Source organism: Homo sapiens, chromosome X (assembly GCF_000001405.40).
Source record: "Homo sapiens chromosome X, GRCh38.p14 Primary Assembly".
NCBI classification, from domain to species: Eukaryota; Metazoa; Chordata; class Mammalia; order Primates; family Hominidae; genus Homo; species Homo sapiens.
In genome coordinates, this window is record NC_000023.11 from 52,583,560 (window position 1) to 52,600,492 (window position 16,933).

A 16,933-nucleotide genomic window follows, 5' to 3' on the forward strand; every position below is an offset into this window, starting at 1 on the left:
TCTCAACTCCATCTTGGAAGTTCCAATGGGTGGGGCTCTGCGTTCCAACAAAACTTGATTTTCAGGGGGAAATGGGCCTAGCAACTGGGTGTGTGACAAAAGCCATGGTCAGTTTAATTTTAATTCTCAAGGTGTATTTTCCTAAATGCGTCATGATGGAGAGTCCAGCTGTGAAACTAAACCTCATCGGAAATACCATGTGTCTTGCCATGAGCATTAAGACATTGCTCAGCTAGCTTGATCAAATTAAGTGGCTGTGCAAGCATTCGATTCAGAAGGCATGCACATTGATACATGCCCTGTGTCATACTTTTCAATATATTACCAACTTTTTAAAAAATAACAAGTTAACATTTAGCCATGGAAATGCTCAAATATAGTATCCTCTTACATGCATTTTCCCACAGTATTCTGTTTGCAGAGTGAAATATGAGTTGGCGAGGAAGATTAACATGTAGATCAAGACAATATTTACAGCCTGTTCAGCCGATTGGGCCTCTGCTTGTGAATGTCTTACCATTCGATGTTTTCTATTTGCAGAAAGTTATTTTTCTGATAGTGTTGTTGGACTCGTATAGATACACTGATAAAGGCCTCCCATGTTGATAAAAAATGATTGTGGCATCTCATGAAGGAAAGACTAACCCAAGAAGACTAAGTACTGGTTTTGCGTGGATTTTGCTGATGATTCCTTCCTCATGCTTATCCATAGCACATTACATACATTCAATCCAAGGTAAATTAAAATGGCTTCCAAAGCCATTGAGGATAACTGCCTTAGAGTAACCTCTCTATGGGAAGAGTAACTTTATGAAGAATAAGTATGTGGAATAGTGTGGGGATAGTGTTGGAGCATGTCTTTCGACATGCTTATGATCAGAAGTACCTATGTAATCTGTATATTCATATTATTGACATGTATTGATAAAACTTTGCACACACACAGACACACACACACACACACCTCGTCCCAGGAGCCCAGTGTGCCAGAGCCTTAACAAGAGGAACCACAAGCTGAAAGTCAGAATGGTACACCTGGTCAGAAGACAGAAGAAGATCAGGGTGCAGCTGAGATTCGAGGTGGTGGGAAGGGAAAGAAAGAATGTCTATGGGGGGAAGGAGGCCTGTATGTGCATCATGCCCTATGCCATGACCAGTAACAGGAGGAAAGAAAACATTAGGAAAGGATCTAAAACATTTGCTGAGAGTTGGCTGGAAACGTGACAGGCATAGTTTGCAGCTTCTTGCAGTCCCTGGATATGATGATTCTTCTCTTTTTCTTCGAGATGCATTTTGTAGGCTTGAAAATACAGTTCTTCCTAAATCAGATGAAACTGTTTAATTGGTTGTATAAAAATGTACATTATTTCACTCATTTAATTTGATCTTCTTAGGATGTTGCAGTGTGACCTCCTCAGCCATGCTGTCCACAGTGTTGTAAGCACCCTTTAATAACATGTGGAGTGTCAAGTCACCCTACCTTTTAACATCCTGAATAAAGACCATTTGCAAAGGGATGTTAGCCCCATTTTATCAATAAGAAACCTGAGACTTGGAGATAGAGGTTTTCCAAGACCACTTGACTCATGGAGAAGGAATTCATATTTTGTTCCAAGGTTTGCATTCTTTCTACCATCTATGTTGTTAGAAAATATGAATGATTTTGCTTACGAATGTTTAATACTCGGATGTCTCTGTACTATAAGATACTTCAATATTGGCTCAGGACAAAACACAGTTCAGTGAAGCAGGATAGCAACCCCAGAAAAGAGCTCAGTGAATGAAAGCCACTGTTGCGTTTTCCTCTGTATTTTTGACAGTATGTTTGGTAAAAGCTGGCTAATTCAGGACACTAGCATACAGGTAGCTATATTAGTAGGATTTTGAAAGGGCTTTTAAAAGTTGTTTAAATACTTTTGTAATTAGAAACCCCAAAGTACGATAAGATTATCATGAAACAGAAATAATTTCCTCAATGGATAACATTTTAAAACTAAACATAGACCGAATTTGGGCCATGTATTATTTTAGCAATTCACTGTTGAGGGATTTCCAGAATATGAGTCAACAATGCCCATTAATTTCTTTGCACTTCAGTTCCAGTACTCTCACTGGAAGACAGTGATTTTGCTATTATATTCTGTACTGTTTCTTAATGGCAATCATGTATGGAAAGTCACATAGAGGGCCTTTGGACCTAAGCATCGCTTTAATTAAGTTTAACTCCAACATTTTCAAGGTACCTCAACACGGGAGGAGTGTCAGGAGTGTAAGATTTGTCATAGGGCCACCAATACATTGATCTAATTCTTCAGAAAATTACATTTAAGGTATGATTTAATTGCTTTCCATGGGGCAGTCTTCAGAATTCCCAGATAGCAGATACTCACTGTTTATAATACACAAGGTTAAAGTATAGGAAACAGAGGTGTGGTGTGATTTATCCTCAGATTGTCATTTAAGATAAGGTATCATAATACAGGAAAACAAAGGCGTGGCATCTTTGCATCACATTTATAACCACAGTTGCCTACAGGCTTTTATTGCGTAACACTGAGGAAAAGAATATTATCATTTCCTTAGTTATCTCCTTTGCCTGCTTTAATTAATAACCTTTGTGTTTTTCAGCGCCTGACCTGGCAGCTGATTTCCAGGAGCTGTCTCAGTCAAAGACTGGGGTAAAGGCAGAGATGGTCCTGATGTCCAGGGGAAGATTCTGCCAAAATCAGAGCAATTTAAAATCTCATAAGGAGGTATGTTATCCATTAAGATTCAGAATTATATGCTTTCTGTTTTCCATAAAATTATATTTTTGATAATAAAAAGAGAGAACATCACTGCCTCTTTAAACAGAGTTCAAATGCAGACCTTTCTTGGAAGGTAGTTCAGACCCAACATGCCTGACTGCAAGACTGAAACACTATCAGATACAGAAACAAACAGGCTCAAAGCCATATTGAATCATCAAATAGGAAAGCATTTTCTTACTTCTGAGTATATCCAACAGCTAACAATTTTCATATTATTTTCTAATTTCTGCTTTTCATGAATGCATAATACATTTGTAATGCCATCTTATATGAAATATGCTGATCCCTGAAGGAGATCCTAGTACCAGCTCTAACATAATTTGTGAGATTCTGGACAAATCACATAAATCCTACACCCATTTTTGCTTTTATTGAAAGTAGTGAATGCACATCAGATAGACTAAAATCCATTTCAATGCTGATTTCTGCATGCTCTGGTTCTGTTGGAGAGAAAACAAAGATACTCTGATTTTCATGATTTGTTTTTCGTAACAATCATCTTCAGTTCAATTGTAATATCTGAGTTGAGATTTCATTGCTCCTAAGAAAATGAGTGGGGACTCTGCTTGATCTTTGTTTTTGTGAATGGAGACTTTCATGAGTGTTCTTGGATTTTGTCAGATTCTGAATTCTCAGGCTCTTAAACAATGATTGCATTTTAAATCTTTCCCGCAGTGAAGGCTCGAATGACTGAATAATAACATGGCAAGAGACAGTCAGGTTTCTGTGGCCGATAAGTAGGGAGCATGCATGTAGGTCAGTGATGCTCAAGGTGGGTGTAAGATGCCTGTGCTAAGCATGATCCCTGCCCTCCAGTCCCTTCATGAGCTACTGTGTGTAATTAGATTGAAGACACATATGATAGGATCACCTCTAACCATGGTTTCTGCCTTCAGTCATCAGATGATACGATGTAAAGTTCAAAGACTGTAATGTACCAATTCCTGTGTAGTAGACATAAATCTCTTTTACACACATTTTCAAAATTGCTGACTTAATTAGAAGAACTTCTGAATTTAAAGGAAGCATTGCATGTTCAAGGGAGAAATTACCTAAATGTTTTTACTCTACACTGCAGAACCCTTCCATTCGACTATTTATATTAAAAGATAGTTTTTCAGATGATTTTCAGGAGCCTATTGAAAAGGCATCAGTTGAATTCTTCAGAGAGTCATAGCCTTAAATGCACATCTTATTAAAATAGATAGCAAATTACACGATACAAGAAAATAATACCAAGAAATAAAAAAATTATAAAAGAGTCACAGAATGAACTTAAGGAAGAAGGAAGCAGGCAGTAAATAAAAGGTACAAATCATTAACAAAAGGAAAACTAATCTAAAATTAATAAATTTAATAGATTGTTCTTTTGAGAAATAGCTGTGAAGAGAGCATCTAGTAGTTTACACAATCTTGAAGAAAATGGATAAAGCACAGCACGGAATATGAGCAAGACACAGATATTGAGTGTAGGGCATAATTGAAAGTGAATACACTCTTGAATACTAATATTTTCAGAGTATGGATGAAATATTTGGCATGCTAGGAATGCCTACATTATTCAATCTATCCTTTTAATACCTGAATATCTGAACATCACAAAGACTCTGTATGAGCTTGTGAAATTTGGCAGTTGTCCCTCACAACAATTACTTTTAGAAGCAAATATTTAGCTTTCCCAGTTGTCTTTCTCTCCTTTTTCATTTCCCTCTCCATTTCTTTTTTTTGCCACACTGTTTACGATGCGTACCTCTTTCATAGTGTAATATCAATAATGACAGTGACAGCTTAAAACTTGTATGACCATTTAATTAATTATACAAAGAGGAATACTTTCTGGTGAAAAAACTATCATTATTCATATTAACATGAGGTCTGCAGGTGAAAACTAGATGCAAATGGTTACTGTATGTTAAAACACACACACACACACACACATACACAGAGAGAGAGAGAGAGAGAGAGAGAGAAGAGTAAACTAGCCCAAAGCAATATTTTTACACTTCTGCATAATAGAGAAAAAACAAATGCAATACTGGCCTTTCTATTCATTTCACTTATGTATTTCCTAATGTAACATTAACTATTTTCTCAAAACATAGTTTTCTGACTATTTGCAGGAGCCCATTGGATATCCAGACCATAGTTTCAAGCCAAAACATTAAATTATACATTTTTCACAAATTCCTTCTGTTTCTTAGGTTTTTTGTGTTCTGGTTTTATTTTGAGTAAAACCCTACACAATGTTTACTATCTAATTTAACCTCTTTTAATAGGTTCACTGGATTTAATGTATTCTGACCTCGGACTGTCTTTTGGTTTCCTTCTAGCACCAAAAGCAGGTTGTGTTTAAAACATGTTGCTAATGTATATGCTTGGAAGTCTATCTTCAAAGTCTCTACAGAGATCTAGTTGAATGCTAGCCATAGGGTGACTTTTAGGCTTCTGGTTTTAGTCCACTGTATAAAACTAAAACTTTGGTGTCCTTTGTATACCTTTCATTTCATCTGAATACAGTTCTGCTAGTAATGTTCCCTCCTGTTATATTTTTGTTGCAGGTAAAGGGCAACCACAGGTTTAAACGAAAACAAGCTGAAAGAATGCAAGCTGAATTTTTCTGAGATATTTGGCTTTAAAAAAATCTCAATAAAGCTTCACAGCTTTCTCCAAAGAAGTCTTGCACATCTTTTGTTCATTTATTCTCACATATTAGACGCTAATGAAAATTGTGGCTGGGTGCAGTGGCTCACACCTGTAATCCCAGCCCTTTGGGAAGCTGAGGCAGCAGGATTGCTTGAGCTTGGGAGACTGAGATGTGCCTGGGCAACATGGGAAAATACCCTCTCTGCAAAAATAAATGAATGAATGCATGAATGTATTCATGTATGGATGTAGCTGTAGTCCCAGCTACTCTGGAGGCTGAGGTGGGAGGATCCCTGGAGCCCAGCAGGTCGAGGATGCAGGTAGTCACGTTCATGCCACTACAACTCCAGCCTGGGTGACTGAGACTCTGTTTGAATAAAAAATAGTACAATTTTTCAAACTTTGCATTCTCATTGATCTGGTATCCACAGGTGTGGTATTGTGAAATATATATTTGGTCCCACACCCCACTTACTGATATACAACTCCTACAATATTTAGAATCTCCACATAGTGATGCCAGTGAGTTGCCTGAAGGCTAGCAGTTCCTAGGTAGCTCTAGGATGGGGGATTAGAGCATTGGGACTTTCAGCCCCATCCCCAACATTCAGGGCAGGGAGAGGGGCTGAAGGTTAAGTTGATTGCCAATGGTTGGCCAACGGGTTAATCAATTATGCCTATATAATGAAAACCTCCGTCAAAACCCAAAGTATAGGGTTCAGAGAGCTTTAGGCTAGCTGAACACATGGAGGGTAGCATGCCCATAGAGGGCATGGAAGCTCCCTTCCCCTTCCTTCATTCCTTCCCCTATGTAGGTCTTTATATGCACCCTTTGTTAGGGTATCCTATTTGCCACAAAATATGTGAGCATTCCCTAGGCCATATAGCTGGATGAAAGAATTAGGGCCTAGGTAGAAGAAAGGGGAAAGCAACTAGGGCAACTTCCTGAAGCAAAATTACTTCGGTCCTACCTACACTGTCTCTTATAAGTTATGATAGCCATGGGTTTCTATCCTGCTTCTCACACACTGGCCTTGACATGGTGGGCAAGACACATCCTGTGGGACTGTTTACCCATTTCTGAAGTTGAAATTACAATATTTACACTAAACAGTTGCTATGAAGAATAAATGAAATAACATAGGAAGCAGGTATTACATAGCACATAAATTTATTAGTTATATTTCCTTAATCCCTTTAAAATTTTAAATAATGTTCTTTCATTTTGCATTATAATTACATCTCTAGTATGTTACCGATGCTTTGGAATTTCAAGTAGGAATATCAATCTACCTTCTTAAATGCATTTGACTTCACAAGCATATTTTATTTAAATATGTAAATAAAATAGCAATGTAGCTGGTATCAGACATGACATTGATTCTGAAGCTGATTTGTAAATAACTGAGGTGTGACAAGGCCAACCCTATGGCAGCAGTTTGGGCCAAAAAATTTCTTTGTTGTGTGTGATGCCATGAAGAATAAGTCAATATTCTGGTCAGGTAACACCACATAACTCAAAACAATAGTGTGTCAGTTGCTCAAGCAGTCCCTAAGCAGCCCTGTGGTGGCTAATGGGGCCACAAGGATCACCAGTGCAGTTGCTTTTGGCTTGTCATATATTCATAGATTTGCTGGGTAAAAAGACAATGAACTCAAATTGATCCAAGTGGTTGAACACTTGCAGACGCAGCTAATGCAGATCGACACTGTCTCAGCACTGTGTCCCTAGCCCCGCAATACCACACTGAATCAGAGATACTCAGTGATAGCATAGATGTTGGGTCTCTCTGCCTGGGAGTAGCCCACAGTCATACCCTAAGGCCAAATTGGAAACCACACTGAATCCTGAACCCAAGATCACCCCTGACAGAACTGCGACTATGGGACAGCAGGGGTGACCCAGCTCCCAAACATCCCACACAGAACACTTAGTGATGTCATCCACGCTTGTGAAGAGGAGAAACTGGTGTCAATGAGTACCCTGAACTTACTGCCTTCTAACAGTTTGCCTAAATCAAAGACCCAAATGAATTGTTTGGACTGGAAGAGGAACCCTAAAGGGAAAGGTCCCTCAGTGGGAGGCCACACTGGAGGCCTTGGCCAGCTCCTGCCTGATGAATGTATGACCTGCTGGGGGTGCCCTAACAAGAGTAGATTCTTGGTGCCCAGGAGTACCACCTATGCCCTCTGGGATTGTTTTTACGTGTGTGCACTCACTATCCATCACTGCCTTATCCCTGGAAGGCATTCACATCAGCTTCATCTTCCTGGCCAGAGTTGTGCTGAGCCTGAAATGGTGGCTCACGCTGGACAAAAATGGTTAACACAGAATCTTAGGAAGGAGGTCCCCTGCCTTTCTAAGATAGACCTTCATCATTAATAGGATTTGTATAAGACGGCTATTATGGGAAATCTGATGTGTCAACTGTGTTATGCCATAAAGCACAAAAAATGTTCACTTTGACCATGGTAGATGTCTCTGTGAAAAGTTTTCTCCACATAAGAACTAACATGTACATTGGCAGACTTTGGGTATACCTAATTGCCCTCTATAATGTCGGTGGGCCTCATCCAGTCACTTGAAGGCCTTCAGAGAAAAAGACTGGGGTCCTTTCAAGATGAAGAATTTCTGCCTCCACACTGCTCTTGGATTTGAGCTCTCATATCAGCTCTTCCCCAGGTCTGCAGCCTGACATCCTGCTCTGCAAGATTTGGACTTGCCAGCCCACATAGTTGCATGACCCAGTACCTCAAAATCAATGTCTCTCCTCAAAATCAATGTCTCTCTCTCTGTCTGTCTCTCTACACGCATGCAAACACACACACACACACTCACATGAACACAGAGTAACTCTAACCAATAGGCTGCTTACATCTGGGACCCTTAAGGGGCATAACTGAGATCACTACTGCAGGTTGGTCTCACTCTGCTGCATGGCTCCTAAGGCAGAGGCCTGTGGCATTCCCCTCACATCCTCTGCAGACTGACATCCAAATGGCTTATCACTGTGAGTCTGGGTTTGGTTATCCAACCATGTAGAGATCACTACAATTCCACAGGTGTTCCCTGCCCTCCTTCTGCCTGTGAGTTCTTCTGTTCTATCCTGAGGACACACAGATCTACTGGGTATGTTTCCAAACTTCCAGGAAGGACCTGGGAGCCTGGTGAGGGAGATACACCTGCGAAGGGAACTTCAGTGCAGTAACAGCAATGGGCATAACCGGTGTGTTCACCAAATCACGAGAGATCACACTACCAACATCGCCCACTTGATTTTCCCCATCAACTAACAGCTTATCTTGGAAACGATAGTTTTGGTAGCTAAGTTAGACTCCCCTTATTCTGTTTTCCACAGGAATCCACAGATTCAAAGCAAACTGATACTGAAATGTTGTGTCAAATTGGAATGCAAGAATGGAATGCCCTGTAGTGGTATGATTTCTGAAGCAGTCAATAAGTCTTTATAAGTTCCCAGATGAAGCAACATACAAGCATTCCTCAGTTTACAGGGAGTGACATGTTTGGAAAATCCAGTTACAAGCTTAATTTTTTTTTAACTATAGACTCCATTTTTTAAAAAATTTAGTATAATTTTCGAAATTTTGTATTCTGACTCAGCTGGTATGCACAGTTATGATATTATGAAATACATATTTGGTCCTAGACCATGCTTCCTGGTATAGAACTCCTACAATTTTTAGGATCTCTACGAAGTGGTGTCTTTTTGTATGCTAGTGAGTTGACTGATGGCTGGCAGCACCTAAGTAGCTCTAGGCTGGGGAATAAGAGGGTTGGGACTTTCAGCCTCACCCCCAAACATCAGGGAAGGGAGAGGGGCTGAAGGTTAAGTTGACCACCTGTGGCGGGCCAACGGTTTAATCAATCACGCCTACAAAATGAAAACCTCCATGAAAACCCAAAAGGACAGGATTCAGAGAGGCTCCAGCCTAGATGAACACATGGAAGGAAGCATACCTGTAGAGGGCATGGAAGCTCCCTGCCCCTTTCCCCAGACCTCACCCTATGTGTCTCCTTATCTGCTTCCTTTCTTAGGGTATCCCATTTGCCACAAAACATGTAAGAAGTCCCTAAGCTACAGAACTGGATGAAAGAATTAGGGCCTAGGTAGAAGAAAGGGGCAAGCAACCAGGGCAACTTGCTGAAGCAAGATGACTTGGGTCCTACCTACACTCTCTCTTTACAGGTTATGGCATGAAATAGTCATGGGTTTCCATCCTGCCTCTCACATACTGGCCTTGAGATGGTGGGCAATATGCTTACATCCTTTGGGACTGTTTCCCTTCTTCCAAAGTAGAAATTACAATATTTACACTAAATACTTGCTATGAAGAATGAAGGAAATAACATACCAAGTAGGCATTACATTGCAGATAAATTTGGATTACTACTTAGATTTCCTTTTTCCCTTTAGATTTCAAACATTTTCATTTCATTTTTCCTTATAACTGCATCTCTAGTATGTGATAAGTGCTTTTGAATTTCAATTTGGAATGTCAAGTTACTTTTAATCTGCATTTGACTTCAGAAAATTATTTGATTTAAATAAACGTATTAGTGAAATAGCAGTGTAGCTGGTGTCAGACATGTTATTGATTCTGAAGTTGATTGGAAAATAACCGAGGTGTGATAAAGCCAACCCCAAGTCAGTACTATGTACCGAAAACCTGTTTGCTATGTGTGATGCCAAGAAGAATAAGTCAATATTCTGGCCATTCAGCACCACACAACTCAATACAGTAGTGTGTCAAGTGCTCAAGCCATCCGTAAGCAGCCCTGTCGTGGCTAACAGGGCCACAAGGATCACCACTGCAGTTATTAGTTTACCTTGTCACATATTCATAGATTTGGCCAATAAGGAGATCATGAGCCCAAATGGATCCAAGTGGTTGATTGCTTGCAGACACAGCAAAAGCAAGATCAGCATTGCTTTGGCACCATGTTCCTAGTCCCATAGAATGACAGTGAATTGGGGGTTCTCAGTGACAGCAAAGATGGTTGGTCTCTCCACCTGTGAGGAGCCCACAGCCGTACCTTAAGGCAGTGGGCACTTTTATACTCCATAACTGTACCCTAAGATGAGGAAAGGTCTGTGCTTACCTGAAACTAGGGAGATGGATGAAGAATGGCCTTGTTTCAGCCTCCAACCAGATAGGGAACTGGTGAGAAATAACCTGTAGCAGTTCCCCCACCATGCTTCCTATCTCCCCTTGCTCCAAGGGCATTCAATGTATTCTGCCAAGACTCAGGTTAGACTGGAATCTAGTTTTGCATATGTGCCCTATGTGGTGACCTGTTAGAGCTCCAGGGCACCGTGGCAGATGCATTACCCTAGAGTGTCCAGCACAAAATCAAGGATCATATGTAAGGTGCCTGGAAACATATCATCTACAATAATGTCTCCTAAACAGAGGCGATGCTTTTCTGTTAGGATCATTACAGAAGATAGATTATTCAATTCAGTAGACATGCACTGATGGCCTGCCATGTTACAGGAAATATCTGGGGTGCTGGAAATTGGAAGACCAACCAACAACACGTGGTACTTTCCGTGGGGGCTATCACACTGTGGTGGGGTGGAGAGATCCTTAAACAGAAGAGCAGCTGAAGTGCAAAGGAGAAACACAGGGAAGGGAGCCATGGGAATAAAAAACAATGAATGTAGTGGCCAAAGGGAAGGAAGAATACATCCTTAAGGTATGTGCCTTCTATGCCGATTTTGCTGAGGGATTTAATCATAAAGCGATGCCGGATTTTGTCAAATGCACTTTCTGCATCTGTTGAGATGATCATGTGACTTTTGTTTCTAATTCTGTTTATGTGGTGTATCACATTTATTGACTTACGTATGTTAAACCATCCCTGCATTCCCGGTATGAAACCCACTTGATCATAGTGGATTGTTTTTTTGATATGCTGTTGGATTCAGTTTCCTAGTATTTTATTGAGGATTTTTGCATCTATGTTCATCACGTAACATAAACCTATAATGTTTAATCAATTCTCCAAAGGAAAGAATAAAGAGATAAGCCAAGGAATACATGAAAACTGACAGAGAGAAGCAAGTACAACAAAATAGAGTAATGTAAATCCAGAAAGACAACTAAAGTACAATGGCATCCCCCAAATAAACACATAGACCGAGGGAAAAAAATGCAGAGCCCAGAAATAAATCCATGCACTTATAATCAAATGAATTTGACAAAGGTGTCAAGCACACACAGTGAGGGACGGACAGCCTTCAATAAATGGTAATGGCAAAATGGTATATCCACATGCAGAGGAATGAAATTCAACCCTCATCTCTCACCATATAAAAAAGTCAACTTAAAGTAAATTAAAACCTTATAATGTAAGACCCGAATCTATGAAATTACTAGAAGAAAACATAGGGAAGAAGCTCCATGACATTGGTCTGGGCAATGATTTTTTTGGGATATGATTCTAAAAGCACAGGGAACAACAACAAAAGTAAACAAATAAAATTATCTCAAACTCAAAAACTTCTGCACAGCAAAATAAACAATCAACAGTGTGCAAAGACACTTTGTCTCCTCCTCCTTAATGCCTCCTCCTTAATGCCTCCTCCTTAAGGCCTCCTCCTTAATGCCGTGTTATTTCCTTTGTACTGACCACAATATTTCTATTCTTTTGATGTAAATAAGAAGTGTGACTATACTTCTTTTCAATCATAAACTTGTGGTTAATAGCCAGAATATCATCGCCTACTTTGGGATATTTTCGACATTTCCAAGTGCAGCTGTGGTTGTTGGAATGATTGGTAGGGGCTACTGGCATTTGGGGACTCAGTGTCGCAGGGAGGCAAACATCTTTTGCCAGAGTCTTCAATAAACCGGATTTTCCATACATGTCACTTCACTGTAAACTGAGGGAGGCTGGTATGTTGCTTCATCTGGGAAGTTATGAAAGACTTACTGACTCCATTGGAAGATCACATCACTTCAGGCCATTCCATTCTTGGATCCCACTCTGACACAACATGCCAGTATCAGTTTGCTTTGTAGCTCTGCATGCCCGAGGGAAACAATGAAGGGAATCCATCTTACCTACCAACAGGATCTTTTCCAGGATAAGCTTCACCACACACCCCAGCTGGCCCCAAACCACTTGTTATTGTTGTTTCAGAAAGGGTCTGTTGCTCTGCCTGGAGTGCAGTGGAGAAACCATGGCTCACTGCAGCCTTGACCTCCCAGGCTCAAGTGATCCTTCCATCTCAGCCTCCCAAGTAGCTGGGAAAACACACAGGTTCCACCACCCCTGGCCATTTTTTTATTTTTTTGTAGAGGTGGGGTATCCTTATGTTGCCCAGGTTGATCTCAAACTCCTGGATTCAAGCAATACTTATGCCTCAACCTCCCAATGTGCTGCAGTTAGGGGCATGAGCCACCTCACCTATCCCTGAACCACTTTTTTTTTTTTTAATCACAGAAACCAAGATAGAGGAAGAAGGAGCCTGCAAGCCCTCCTGGGGAAAATTGTGTCCTTCTTCATGCTACCCTGCTATTTCCTCTGCACCAACTCCAACATTCCTATTTTTTGATGTAAATAAGAAGCTTGAGGATACTTTGTTTCAATCATAAACTTGTGGTTTATTGCCCCAATATCTTTGCCCACTTTGGGTCATTTTGGAAATTTTTGAGGGCAGCTGCAGTTGTTGGAATGATTGGCAGGGGCTACTGGCATTTGGGGACTGAGTGTTACAGGGAAGCAAACGTCTTTTTCCAGAGTCTTCACTAAACTGGATTTTCCATACATGTCACTCCCTTTAAACCGAGGGGGGCCTGTATGTTGCTTCATCTGGGAACTTATAAAGACTTATTGACTGCTTGAGAAATCACATCACTGCAGCGCATTCCACTCTTGGATTCTACTCCGACACAACATTCCGGTATCAGTTTGCTTTGTATGCGTCCATTCCTGGAGAAAATAGAAAAAGGGGAATGCAACTTACCTATGAACGTGACCATTTCCAGGATAAGCTGTTAGCTGATGGGGAAACTTAAGTGGGAGATGTTGGTAATGTGATCTCTCATGAGTTGGTGAACACACTGGCTATGCCTGTTGCTGTAACTGATGTTGCATATGTATGTCCCTCACCAGGCTCCCAGTGCCTTCCTGAAGGCTGGAAACATACCCTATAGATCTCTGTATCCTCAGGATGGAACAGAGGACCTCACATACAGAAGGAGAGCAGGGAACACTTGTGGAATGGTAGTGATCTGTACATGGTTGGGTGACCAAACCCTGAGTCACAGTGATGAGCCCCATGGAGGTCAGTCTGCAGAGGGTGGGAGGAGAATGCCATGCAGCAGAGTGAGACGAACCTGCAGTACTAATCTCAGTTACGCCCTTTAAGCATCCCAGATGTAAGCAGCCTATTGGTTAGGGTTCCCGTGTGTGTGTGTGTGTGTGTGTGTGTGTGTGTGTGTGTGTGTGTGTGTGTGTGTAGAGATTGAGAGAGAGAGAGAGAGATTGAGTTTGAAGACCTAGCTCATGCAACTGTTGTGAATGGCAAGTCCAAATCTCACAGAGCTGGATGTCAGGCTGGAGAGCCTGGGCAGAGGTGATATGAGAGCTCAAATCCAAGGGCAGGGTGGAGGCAGAATTTCTTCATCTTGAGGAGGACCCCAGTCTTCTTCTCTGAAGGCCTTCAAGTGACTGATTGAGGCCCACCCACATTGGGGAGGTTTACCCAAAGTCTGCTGATTTGAATGCTACTTCTCTTGTAAAGAAAACCCTCCACGGAGACATCTACCCTGGTCAAAGTGAACATTTCTCATGCATTGTGACCTAGCAAAGTTGACACATCAGATTTCCCATCATAGCCATCTTATACAAATCCTATTAATGATGAAGGTGTATCTGACAAAGGCAGGGGACTTCCTAAGATTCTGTATTAACCATTTTTATCCAGCCCAAGCCAGCATTTCTGGCTCAGCACAACTCCGGCCAGGAAGCTGAAGCTGATGTGAATGCCTTCCAGCAATAAGGGAGTGATGGGCTAGTCAGGGCACACAGGCAATCCCAGAGGGCACAGGTGGTACCCCTGGACAACAAGAGTTTACCCTTGTTAGGGCACCCCCAGCAGGACATACAGTCATCAGGCAGGAGCTGGCCAAGGCCTCCATTGTGGCATCCCACAAAGAAACCTTTCCCTCTAGGGTTCCCCGTTCAGTCTAAAAAATTGATTTGCATCTTTGGTGACTCTCAGTCCATTCTGGAAGGTGGGAAGAGAGCCAGCCAGCAGCATTAAAGCCCTACTGTGTGGCAGGGAAGAAGCTAGGGAAAGTCCCTCATTTTCTGTCAGTTAGCCATGGCATCAACCAGGACAGATTATCATTCCCACTTCCCAGATCCAGCACACAGGAAGCGGCTCCAGCTGAATGGCAGAGATGCCTAGCTGAGTACTGCCAGAATTCCCTTTTTATCTTTTCCTAGGCCTTCAATGATACTGCCAAATACTTCTCTGAGAAAGAATGGGAAAAGATGAAAGCCTCAGAGAAAATCATCCATGTGTATATGAAGAGAAAGTATGAGGCCATGACTAAACAGGGTAACTGAAAGTTCTAGGTACAGACAAGTCTGGGGACACATGAGCATCCCTTTTCCTGCTTTGGCTACTTCTTAGGCTGCAGAAAGTACCCCACATTTTCCTTTTGTGCAGGGAAAAATCGCAAGGCAGCTTCTGGGTGCTCTGCTCTTCTGTATTCTGTCAGGGCTGAGGGCAGGGACTGGCCACAGTGGAGCTCATACCTGGATCCTGCACGTTTCTCTCCCTTAGGAGTCTGTTGTGATGAGCCCAACTGTCTCTGTGGCATCCCAGGCCTCCCCCACCCCGCCACCGCCCCCAACACACCCACCCTACCTTCCTTCTCTCGGCTTGTCTCTCTCTCTCTCTCTCTGTCTTTTTTTTTTTTTTTTGAGTCTGAGTCTCACTCTGTCACCTAGGATAGAGTACAGTAGTGCAATCATAGCTCACTACAGCCTTGAATTCATGGCCTCAAGCAATCCTCCAGCCTTAGCCTCCCAAAGTGCTGGTACTACAGACATGAGCCACCATGGCAGGCCTAAGCGTGTCTCTTAAGGAATAAATATTTTGCTTCTTACTAGGTTTCACGGCTACCATCCCAACTTTCATGGATGACAAAGGGGCCGCAGACTGCCAGGGGAATGATTTTGATAATGACCATAACTGCGGGAATCAGGGTGAGTAGATGGGAAGGGGCTGGAAAGGGTCTCCTCAAGCCCAACTGCTTTTCAGCTCAGCTACCTGGGAAAGAGCCTCAGGCATTTGTTCCCTCATACACATCAGGGCTGAGTGAAAAAAAAATTGCATGCAGAAAGTTAACTACAGAGGCCATTCATATAAAATTTTAAAACATGCAAAACAAGAATATATATTTTTATGGATAATAAGTAAATGGTAAATGTATACAAACATGAATGTGAATAAAAAGCCATCAAATTAAGGTGACTGGCTGTAAGTGGAGGAGGGAGGGAGAGCAGGGATTGCTGAGTGCTGCACACACAGCTTCAGCTGTGACTTGTCGATAGTGTGTTTTGTTTGCTTTTGTTTTTGAGATGGAGTTTCACTCTTGTTGCCCAGGCTGGAGTGCAATAAGGCAATCTCAGCTCACTCTGACTTTCACCTCCTGGGTTCAAGTGATTCTCCTGTCTCAGCCTCCAGAGTAGCTGGGGTTACAGGTGCCCGCCCCCACACCCAGCTCATTTTTTAATGTTTGGTAGAGACGGGGTTTCACCATGTAGGCCAGGCTGGTCTCAAACTTCCTGACCTCAGGTGATCCACCCGCCTCAGCCTCCCAAAGTGCTGGGATTACAAGTATGAGCTACCACGCTCAGCCTGTTTGCAGTATTTCTAATATTCTGAATAAATAAATCAGACCTAACATAGCTGGGGGTAATGTTGAGATCCGACCAGACTCAATATTATTCCCCATACTTTTCTGTTTGAAATATTTCTTTTTAAAGGACATGTTGTTCTTCCTAAGCACTGTTAATGAATCAAAGGACAGTTAAGAAAATGTTAAAAGTGACAAAAAAAGAAAGAAACTGTTAAAACTGTGGATCCGCCAAAAACTTCAAGAGGTTGTTTCATTAACAGCAAGTAGGTATTGGATAGGTATCTTAGGAGTGAGGGTGATGAACACATTATGTAATAAAGATCGCTGTTTTTCTGTATCTTATCAAAACCAAATACTCTTCTCATTCCCAAACAACCCCAATTCTCCGTGATGAGCTTGGAAGAGAGTTTGAAAGAGTGATCCCTCATCCAACACAGAGAGAGCTTTCCCACTTGTCAGTGAGCAGAGATAACATGGGGTGAAAAAAAGAAAGGTTCTTGGCTAGACATCTTTGTACATTTCAGGAATATAAAGGGGACATATGTGTTTACTGGCTCTTCTGCTCTGACAACACA

The 16,933-nt window shown here is 41.6% G+C and overlaps 2 pseudogenes across 1 annotated transcript; both read left to right on the forward strand.

Moving 5' to 3' along the window:
• Nucleotides 1-429: 429 nt before the first annotated feature.
• LOC107985659 (X antigen family member 5-like) lies at nt 430-5,481 on the forward strand (annotated as a pseudogene). The gene is made up of 4 exons (XR_007068241.1): nt 430-504; nt 975-1,080; nt 2,629-2,753; nt 5,369-5,481. The product of XR_007068241.1 is annotated as a X antigen family member 5-like, transcript variant X1 (transcript).
• On the forward strand, nt 14,383-15,882 carry SSX14P (SSX family member 14, pseudogene; annotated as a pseudogene).